Here is an 11,540-nt window from a genome sequence, read left to right as displayed (position 1 = left end):
TCGGCTCACTGCAACCTCCCTGCCTGATTCTCCTGCCTCGGCCTGCCGAGTGCCTGCGATTGCAGGCGCGCGCCGCCACGCCTGACTGGTTTTCGTATTTTTTTGGTGGAGACGGGGTTTCACTGTGTTGGCCGGGCTGGTCTCCAGCTCCTAACCGCGAGTGATCTGCCAGCCTCGGCCTCCCGAGGTGCCGGGATTGCAGACGGAGTCTCGTTCACTCAGTGCTCAATGGTGCCCAGGCTGGAGTGCAGTGGCGTGATCTCGGCTCGCTACAACCTCCACCTCCCAGCAGCCTGCCTTGGCCTCCCAAAGTGCCGAGATTGCAGCCTCTGCCCGGCCGCCACCCCGTCTGGGAAGTGAGGAGCGTCCTGCCTGGCTGCCTATCATCTGGGATGTGAGGAGCCCCTCTGCCTGGCTGCCCAGTCTGGAAAGTGAGGAGCGTCTCTGCCCAGCCGCCATCCCATCTAGGAAGTGAGGAGCTCCTCTTCCCGGCCGCCATCCCATCTAGGAAGTGAGGAGTGTCTCTGCCCGGCCGCCCATCATCTGAGATGTGGGGAGCGCCTCTGCCCAGCCGCGACCCCATCTAGGAAGTGAGGAGCGTCTCTGCCCGGCCGCCCCGTCTGAGAAGTGAGGAGACCCTCCGCCTGGCAACCGTCCCATCTGAGAAATGAGGAGCCCCTCCGCCCGGCAACCACACCGTCTGGGAAGTGAGGAGCGTCTCCACCCGGCCAGCCGCCCCACCCGGGAGGGAGGTGGGGGGGTCAGCCCCCCGCCCGGCCAGCCACCCCGTCCGGGAAGGAGGTGGGGGGGTCAGCGCCCCGCCTGGCCAGCTGCCCCGTCTGGGAGGTGAGGGGCGCCTCTGCCCAGCCGCCCCTACTGGGAAGCGAGAAGCCCCTCTGCCCGGCCAGCCGCCCTGTCCGGGAGGGAGGTGGGGGGGTCAGCCCCCCGCCCGGCCATCCGCCCCGTCCGGGAGGTGAGGGGCGTCTCCGCCCGGCCGCCCCTACTGGGAAGTGAGGAGCCCCTCTGCCCGGCCATCCGCCCCGTCCGGGAGGGAGGTGGGGGGGTCAGCCCCCCACCCGACCAGCCACCCCGTCCGGGAGGTGAGGGGCGCCTCTGCCCGGCTGCCCCTACTGGGAAGTGAGGAGCCCCTCTGCCCGGCCGCCACCCCGTCTGGGAGGTGTACCCAACAGCTCATTGAGAACGGGCCATGACGACAATGGCGGTTTTGTGGAATAGAAAGGGGGGAAAGGTGGGGAAAAGATTGAGAAATCGGATGGTTGCCGTGTCTGTGTAGAAAGAAGTAGACATGGGAAACTTTTCATTTTGTTCTGTACTAAGAAAAATTCTTCGGCCTTGGGATCCTGTTGATCTGTGACCTTACCCCCAACCCTGTGCTCTCTGAAACATGTGCTGTGTCCACTCAGGGTTAAATGGATTAAGGGTGGTGCAAGATGTGCTTTGTTAAACAGATGCTTAAAGGCAGCGTGCTCATTGAGAGTCATCACCACTCCCTAATCTCAAGTACCCAGGGACACAAACACTGCGGAAGGCCGCAGGGTCCTCTGCCTAGGAAAACCAGAGACCTTTGTTCACTTGTTTATCTGCTGACCTTCCCTCCACTATTGTCCTATGACCCTGCCAAATCCCCCTCTGTGAGAAACACCCAAGAATGATCAATAAAAAAAAAAAAAAGAAAAAAAAAAAGAATACAGTGATCTCTTAGTAGCTGATACCAAAGGAATGGAGATATATGAACTGCCTGACAGACAATTCAAAATAATTGTTTTAAGGAAACTCAGTGAACTTCAAGAAAATACAGAGAAACAATTCAATCAAATCAGGCAAACAATAAAATGACCAAAATGATAAATTTAATGAGAGATTGAAATTATAGAACATATCAAACAGAAATCAAATATCAAACTGGAGCTAAAAAATACAATGAAATGAAAAATGGAATAGATAAGAAATTGAGCAGAAGAAAGCATTTGTGAACTTAAAGATAGGTTATTTGAAAATATACAGTCAGAGGAGAAAAAGAGAATGAGAAGGAATAAAGAAAACTTATAAGATTGCTGGGTGTAGTGGCTCATACCTGTAATCCCAGCATTTTGGGAGGCTGAGGTGGGAGTATCACTTGAGCCCAGGAGTTTGAGACTAGCCTGGGCAACAAAGTGAGACCCATGCCCTCTACAAAAAAAATTAGCTGGGCATGGTGGCTTGCATCTGTAGTCCCAGCTCCAGCTGCTTGGGGGGCTGAGGTGGGAGTGTCACTTGAGCCTGGGAGGTCAAGGCTGCAGTGAGCCATGATTGTGCCACTGCACTCCAGCCTGGGTGACAGAACTGAGGCCCTGTCTCAAAAACAAGCAAGCCCCAAGCAAGCAAACAAACAAAACTCAACAACAACAAAAAGGAAAGCTGACAGGGTTTATGGGACAGCATCAAAAGATCAAATACCAAGTTATGGGAGTTCATGAAGGAGAAGAGAAAGACAAAGGGGTAGAAAAGTTATTTAAAGAAATATTAGCAGAAAAATTTCCAAATTGGGAGACAAATATAAATATCCAGGTACAGGAAGGTCAAAATTGTCCAATGAAATTCAATCTAAACAAGACTACACCAGGACATTTGATAACCAAACTGTCAAAAATCAAGGACAAAGAGAGGATCCTGAAAGCAGCAAAAGAAAATAAAAAAATCTCACATAATAAAGTTCCAATAAGGTTAGTAGCAGATTTCTTGGCAGACCTTACATGCCAGGAGCGAGTGGGATGATATATTTAAAATGCTGGAGGAAAAAAACCTGTCAAGCCCAAATACTACACCCTGCAAAGCTATCCTTCAGAAATGAAGGAGAGATAAAGACATTCCAAGACAAACAAAAGCTGAGGGAGTTCACCATCACCAGGCTGATTTTACAAGAAATACTAAAGGGAATATTCAAGCTTAAAGTAAAATATACTAATTAGCAACATAAAACATATAAAACTTAACGGTCAAAGTAAGAACACAGTCAAATTCAGAATACTCTAATACTGAATGGTGGTGTGCAAATCACATATATCTTTAGTACGAAGGTTGAAAGACAAAGTTATTATTAAAATTAATAGCCACAATAATTTTTCAGGGACACACAATATAAAAAGATGTAAACTGTGATATCAAAAATTTAAAATGCAGGGCATGGTGGTAGTAGAGAAAAAGTGTATCGTATTTTTGTTGTTGTTGTTGAGACAGAGTCTTGCTCTGTTGCCCAGGCTGGAGTGCAGTGGAATGATCTCGTTTCACTGCCACCTCTGCCTTCTGGGTTCCAGTGATTCTTGTGTGCCTCAACCTCCTGAGTAGCTGGGATTACAGGCATGTGCAACCACGCCCAACTAACTTTTTGTATTTTTAGCAGAGATGAGGTTTTCTATGTTGGCCAGGCTGGCCTCAAGTGATCCACCTGCCTTGGCCTCCAAAGTGCTGGGATTAAAGGCATGAGCCACTGCACCCATCACCCCCCACCGCTCTGCCCAAAAAATCTTATAGTTTTTTATGTTATCGAAGTTAAATTGTTATCAGCTTAAATAGTTTATTATAACTCTAAGATGTTTTTTGAAAGCCTCATGGTAAACACAAAGTGAAAACCAACAGCACACATACATAAGATTAAAAGAACAGATTCAAATCACACCACAGAAAACCATCAAACCACAATGGAAGCCAGTAAGAGAGGAAGAATAAAGGATCTGCGAAATAACCAGAAAACAACTAACAAAATGGCAGTAGTAAGCCCTTCCTTCTCAACAATTGCTTTGAATGTAATAGATTAAATTCTCCAATCAAAAGGCATAGAGTGACTGAATAGATAAAAAACAAGGCCCATTTATATGCTGTCTGAAAAAGACTCACTTCACCTTTAAGGACACACATAGACTGAAGGTAAAGAGGTAGAAAAAGGTAGAGAAACCAAAAGAGCTCAAGGGTAGCTATGTTTATATTGACAAAATAGACCTTAAGTCAAAAACTGTAATACAGGACAAAGAAAATGATTGTACAACGATAAAGAGGTCAATTCATCAAGAAAATATAACGATGATAAATATGTATTCATCCAATACTGAAGCATCTAAATATAAAGGAAATATTAAAAGATCTGAAGGGAGAGTTACACTATAATGTATAATAATAGGGGACTTTAATACCCCACTTTCAGCAATGAGCAGATCATGTAGACAGAAAATCAACAAGAAAACAACACACTTGAACTAGATTTTAGACCAAATGGGCTAACAAACATATACAGAACATTCCATCCAACAGCAGCTGAATATATTTTCTTCTCAAGTGCACGTGGAACATTTTCCAGGATAGATAATATATTTGACCATAAAATAAGTTTCAACAAATTTACAAAGACTGAAGTCATATCAACTATATTTTCTGACCACAATGGTATAAAACTAGAAATCAATAAGAGGAGGAATTTCTGAAAATTCACAAACACGTGGAAATTGAACAACATGCTCCGAATAACCAGTGGGTCAATGAAGAAATTAAAAGGGAAATTTAAAAATATCTTGAGACAAACAAAACTGGAAACACAGCATACTAAAACTTAGGGGATGCAGCAAAAGCAACTCTAAGACGAAAGTTTAGATAAGCAATAAATATCCACATCAAAAAAGTAGAAATATCTGAAATAATCTAATGTTATACCTCAAGGAAGTAGAAAAACAAGAACAAACAAGTCCAAATTTAGCAGAAGGAAAAAAATAATAAAGACCAGAGCAAAAATAGATGTGATAAATAAAATAGAAAAATAATAGAAAAGATCAGTGAAACTAAGAGTCAGGTGTTGAAAAGCTAAATAAAATTGAGAAAACTTTAGGTAGACTATGAAAAATAAAGGGAAAAGACTAAAATAAATGAAATCACAAAGAAAAAAGGCATAACAACTGATACCAGATAAACAACAATGTACTGTAAGAGACTACTATAAACAATTATATACCAAAAAATTATACAAGCAAGAAGAAATAGATAAATTCCTAGACACATAAACCTATCAAAACTGAATCATGAAGAAACTGGAAATCTGAAAGGACCAATAAAAAGTAAGGAGATTGAATCAATAATAAAAGCCTCCTATCAAAAAAAAGAGCCCAGGATTTGATGACTTTATTGCTGAATTCTACCAAACATTTATAAAGAATTAATATTGATCCTTCCAAAATCTTCCAAAAAATGGAAGAAGAGGAAATACATCCAAACTCATTTTACAAGGTGAGCATTACCTCTATACTAAATCCAGACAAGGACACTACAAATAAAGAAAATTACTTCTTTTCCGAGAAAACACCAAATGGCGGATGACGCCGGTGCAGCGGGGAGGCCCGGAGGCCCTGGTGGCCCTGGGATGGGGAACCGCGGTGGCTTCCGCGGAGGTTTCGGCAGTGGCATCCGGGGCCGGGGTCGCGGCCGTGGACGGGGCCGGGGCCAAGGCCGCGGAGCTCGCGAAGGCAAGCCCGAGGATAAGGAGTGGATGCCTGTCACCAAGTTGGGCCGCTTGGTCAAGGACATGAAGATCAAGTCCCTGGAGGAGATATATCTCTTCTCCCTGCCCATTAAGGAATCAGAGATCATTGACTTTTTCCTGGGGACGTCTCTCAAGGATGAGGTTTTGAAGATTATGCCAGTGCAGAAGCAGACCCGTGCCGGCCAGCGCACCAGGTTCAAGGTGTTTGTTGCTATCGGGGACTACAATGGCCACGTCGGTCTGGGTGTTAAGTGCTCCAAGGAGGTGGCCACCGCCATCCGTGGGGCCATCATCCTGGCCAAGCTCTCCATTGTCCCCGTGTGCAGAGGCTACTGGGGCAACAAGATCGGCAAGCCCCACACCGTCCCTTGCAAGGTGACAGGCCGCTGCAGCTCTGTGCTGGTGCGCCTCATCCCTGCACCCAGGGGCACTGGCATTGTCTCCGCACCTGTGCCTAAGAAGCTGCTCATGATGGCTGGTATCGATGACTGCTACACCTCAGCCCGGGGCTGCACTGCCACCCTGGGCAACTTCGCCAAGGCCACCTTTGATGCCATTTCTAAGACCTACAGCTACCTGCCCCCCGACCTCTGGAAGGAGACTGTATTTACCAAGTCTCTCTATGAGGAATTCACTGACCACCTCATCAAGACCCACACCAGAGTCTCCGCGCAGCGGACTCAGGCTCCAGCTGTGGCTACAACATAGGGTTTTTATACAAGAAAAATAAAGTGAATTAAGCGTGAGAAAAAAAAAAAAAGAAAGAAAATTATAGGCCAATACCCATAGTGAATATATATGGTTCGAATATTTGTTCCAACAAATTCTCATGTTGAATTGTTATCCCCAGTGTTGGAGGTGGGGCCTGGTGGGAAGTGTTTGGGTCATGGGGGCAGACCCCTCATGGCTTGGTGCTGTCCTCATGATGATGAGTTCTCATGAGATCTGGTTGTTTAAAAATGTGTGGCACCTCCCTGCCCCCTCTCTCTCTTGCTTGCACTCTGGCCATGTGAGGTGCCTGCTCCTGCTTTTCCTTCTGCCATGAGTAAAAGCTCCCTGAGGCCTTCCCAGAATCCAAACACATTCTGGCACTATGCTTGCACAGCCTACAGAACCATGAGCCAAGTAAGCCTCTTTTCTTTATAAATTACCCAATCTTGAGTATTCCTTTTTGCAACGCAAGAACAGCCTAATAGAACATATATAAGAATCTTTAACGAAGTACTAGCCAACTAATTCAATAACACATTAAATATATTATGTACCAAAATCAAGTGGGATTTATCTCTAGGATCCAACGATGATGCAACATATACAAATCCATAAATGTGATAACACCACATTAATATAACAAAGGACAAAAACCATATGATCATCTCCTCAGATGCAGAAAAAACATTTGACAAAATTCAACACGCTGTCATGATAAGAACTTTCAACAAATTAGGTAAAGGAGGAACGTACCTCAATTCAATGAAGGCCATATATGAAAAGCCTACAGCTTATATCAGGCTTAATGGTGGAAAGTTGAAAACTTTTCCTCTAATGTCAGGAATAAGGCAAGGATGCCCACTCTTTCTTGTCACTTCTATTCAACATAGTACTGAAAGTGCTAGCTGGAGCAATTAGGCAGAGAATACAAGAGCTGGGAGCGGTGGCTCACGCCAGTAATCCCAGTACTTTGGGAGGCCGAGGAGGGCGGATCACGAGGTCAGGAGATCGAGACCACGGTGAAACCCCGTCTCTACTAAAAATACAAAAAAAATTAGCTGGGCACGGTGGCGGGCCCCTGTAGTCCCAGCTACTTGGGAGGCTGAGGCAGGAGAATGATGTGAATCCAGGAGGCGAAGCTTGCAGTGAGCCGAGATCACGCCACTGCACTCCAGCCTGGGTGACAGAGCGAGACTCCATCTCAAAAAAAAAGAAAAAAAAAAAAAAATAAATAAATAAATAAAAGGCATCCAGACTGAAAAGAAAGAGGTTAATTTGTCCTTGTTTGCAGATGACATGCTCTGATATACAGAAAACCCTAAAACAACTGTTTAGAAATAATGGACAAATTTGATAAAGTTGCAGGGCATAAAATCAACATACAAAAAATCAGTAGCATTTCTATACAGTAAAAATGAACTATCAAAAAGGAAGTCTAGGAAACAATCCCATTTACAATAGCTAGCAAAAAAAAGATACTTAGAAATAAATTTAAACAAGGAGGTTAAAAACTTGTACACTGGAAACTGAAACATTGATGAAAGAAATTGAAGAAGACACAAATAAGTGGAGACATTCTGTTTTCACAGATTGGAAGAATTAATAATATTGTTAAAATGTCCATACTACCCAAAGTGTTCTACAGATGCAATGCAATCATATCAAAATTCCAATGACATTTTTCACAGAAATAGAAAAAAACCTTAAAATTTATATGGAATCCCAAAGACCCCAAATTGCTAGAACTATCTTGGGCAAAAACAAGAAAGCTGAACATATCACACTACCTGGTTTTAAAGTATATTACAAAGTTATAAAAATCAAAACAGTATAATGCTGGCATTTAAAGCAGAAACATAGATCAAAGGAATATGACAGAGAACCTAGAAACAAACAGAATCATTTATGGTCAACTGATTTTGACAAAGATACCAATAAAACTCAACTGGCAAAGAACAGCCTCTTCAATAAAAGTTCCTGGCAAAACTGGATGCTCACATGCAGAAGAATGAAATTGGACCCTAATTTCACATCATATACAAAAATCAATTCTAAATGGATTAAATAATTAAATGTAAAACCTAAAACCTAAAACTGTAAAAGTACTAGAAGAAAACATAGAAGGGAAGCTCCATTACATTGGTCTAGGCAATGAGAACCAAAACTAGACAAGTGGGATAATATCAAACCACAAAGAAAACAACTAACAGAGTTAAGAGACAACCTATGGAATGGGAGAAAATACTTAGAAACCATGCATCTGATAAGGGCTAATATCCAAAATATGTAAGGAACTCAAACAACTCACCAGCAAGCAAACAACCTGATTAAAAAATTGGCAAAGGACCAAAAGAAGACATGCATAGCCAATAGGTAGATGAAAAAAAATGCTCAACATCACTAATCATCAGAGAAATGCAAATTAAAACCATGATGAGTTATCATCTCACACCTACCTGTTGGAATGGTTATTATCAATTAGACAGAATATCCTAGGGGCTGGCAAGGATGTGAAGAAAAGGGAATTCTTGCACACTGTTGGTGTGAATGCAAATTAGTATACCCATATGGAAAATAGTATGGAAGTTCCTAAAAAAAACAAAAATAGAATTACCACATTATCCAGCAATTAGACTACTGGATACTCTTTGGCATACTGGAACATAAAATCAGTATGCCAAAGAGATATCTGCACTCCAGTTCATTGCAGTGTTATTCGTAACAGCCAAGACATGGAAGCATCAACATATATAAACAATAAAATATTACTCAGCTTTTAAAAAGAAGGAAATCCTGTCATTTGCAACAACATGACGAACCTAGAGAGCATTATGTTAAGTAAAATAAGCAGGCACAGAAAGATAAATATCACATAATCTCACTTTAATATGAAATCCAAAGAAATTCAATTCACAGGAACAAGGTAGAATGGTGTCTACCGGGGTCTGAGGGGTGGATGCTGGGGAGATGTTGGAGATACAATATTTCAGTTAGATAGGAGAAGTGAGCTAAGAGATTTGCTGTACAACATGGGGACTACAGTTAATGTATTGTATTCCTGAAGATTACTAAGAGAGTGGATTTTGAGTGTTTTCACCATAAAAAATAAGTGAGGTAATGCATATATTAGTTAGATTTAGTCATTCCACAATATCATTCCACAATGTATCCAGGTTTCAAAACATCATATTGTACATGATAAATACATATAATTTTTTGTCAATTAAAACATAAATAAATTAATTTAAAAACTATAATCCAAGAAGACTTTAAATAATAGAATACTTGAATCAACATGGCAAGGTGTCACCATGTACTAGCCACAATGATCCAGAATAGCCTCAGAAATCTGAAGTTTAGTGCCCTTTCACTCAGATACTTACTTCTACATTTTACCATCTGTCACTAAAAATTTTCAAGAAGTGAACTCTTCCCAAGTTAAGACACTGGACACATTAACTGATGGGTATAATTCTAAAGAATGTATATTTAATGGGAGAGTTATAAGAGACTTCCTCTGGATAGAAGACTATCTTTGAATGCTTCATGTCATAGTTATTGCAACTATATTTTTGGCTAATGGACTTTTCTTGGTGATAGATATTGCACTTAGCACCTAAACCCAACCCTTGCATTTCAGATAACCTTCTGTACTGCATGATTTAGGCATCCTAGGTTTGTTAGGATGAACTAGAGGTTGGGTGGGGCACATATTGCTGATGACAGCATCAGTTATGGACTCACTATGAGCATCAGCTGTGGCCAAAGTATGGAAATGATGCAGGAGCTGGCCAATACCATGACATCAGAGGTGGGGAGTATTCTTTTAGGATCCTCCCATCTGCATTCGCCATCTTGAAGGGGCATGTCTGGAGCATAGGAAGAGAACAAATAATGCAAAAGCAGTGGGAATCATAAGACTTGCATTTGGTCACCAACAGGCCAGACCTCATCTGTGATTCTCTGATGACTAGGACTTAACATTTTGGAGATCCAGATTTTGGCAGAATAGGCATTTGATTCCTCCTATATCTCCATGAGGTTCAAAGTCTTCCAGGATTCCTCACCACCCTATTGTAAATAATATGGAGGTATACAGATGCTTCCATATAAGACAGAGCACACAGTCATAACCAAATGGGCACCCTTTCCAGCTGCAATATTCTAGGTGTAGCCTCTGAGTTCCCTGGGGCAGGGTAGGCTGTCCAGAGAGCTCTCTGGAACATAGGTCAGGACATCAGTGATTGGAGCAACTGCTTCTAGTAAAATTCATAGTTCATGGCACTTGCACCAGTGACAGGAAATAGAGCAGTTTGGAACCCATAGTGTGTTTACATGGCAAAGTGCTCTGGATTTGGACATGGAAGTTTACTCTCCATGTGGCCACTGGCAGGTAACTTTGCTTCTCATTGTTTTTCTGTTTGTTTGTTTATTTTGAGATGGAGTCTCCCTCTGTCACCCAGGCTGGAGTGCAGTGGTGCAATCTCGGCTCACTGCAACCTCTGCCTCCCAGGTTCAAGCGATTCTCCTGCCTCAGCCTCCTGAGTAGCTGGGACTACAGGTGTGCGCCACCACACCTGGCTAATTTTTATATTTTTAGTAGAGATGAGGTTTCACCACATTGGCCAGGCTGGTCTCAAACTCCTGACCTCAGGTGATCCACCTGCCTCGGCCTCCCAAAATGCTGGAATTACAGGCATGAGCCACTGTGCCTGGCTAACTTTGCCTCTCTTAATGCAGATATACGTTAGAGATCAAGTTTGGATCCAACTGCCACAATAAAGAGAATCACACATATTTTTGGTTTCCTGCTGCATATAAAAGTTATGTTTACACTACACCATAATCTATTAAGTGTGCAATAGTATTATATGTTAAAAACAGTGTATATAATTAAAAGTATTTTACTGCTAAAAATGCTAGTGATCATCTGACCTTCAGTTAGTCATAATTGTTTTGCTGGTAGAGAGTCTTGCCTCAATGTTGATGGCTGCTGACTGACCAGGGTGGTGGTTACTAAAGTGGCTATGGAAATTTCTTAAAATAAGACAACAATAAAGTTTGCTGCATCAGTTGACTATTTCTTTCATGAAAGATTTCTCTGTAGCATGTGATGTTGTTTGAATTTCTTTCCACGGAAGAATTTCCTTGAAAATTGGAGTCAATCTTCTCAAATCCCGCTACTGCTTTATCATAAGTTTATGTAACATTTTAAATCCTTTGTTGTCATTTCAACAGTCTAATGATACAACTTTCATGGATGAAGAGTTGCTATTTTTTTTTTTTAAGAGACAGGGTCTTGTCTTAA

At 42.4% G+C, this 11,540-nt stretch overlaps 1 pseudogene; it reads left to right on the top strand.

Moving 5' to 3' along the window:
* Positions 5,325–6,266, top strand: RPS2P7 (ribosomal protein S2 pseudogene 7; annotated as a pseudogene).

Source organism: Homo sapiens, chromosome 20 (assembly GCF_000001405.40).
Source record: "Homo sapiens chromosome 20, GRCh38.p14 Primary Assembly".
NCBI classification, from domain to species: Eukaryota; Metazoa; Chordata; class Mammalia; order Primates; family Hominidae; genus Homo; species Homo sapiens.
This window is presented reverse-complemented; position numbering and strand designations above follow the sequence as displayed.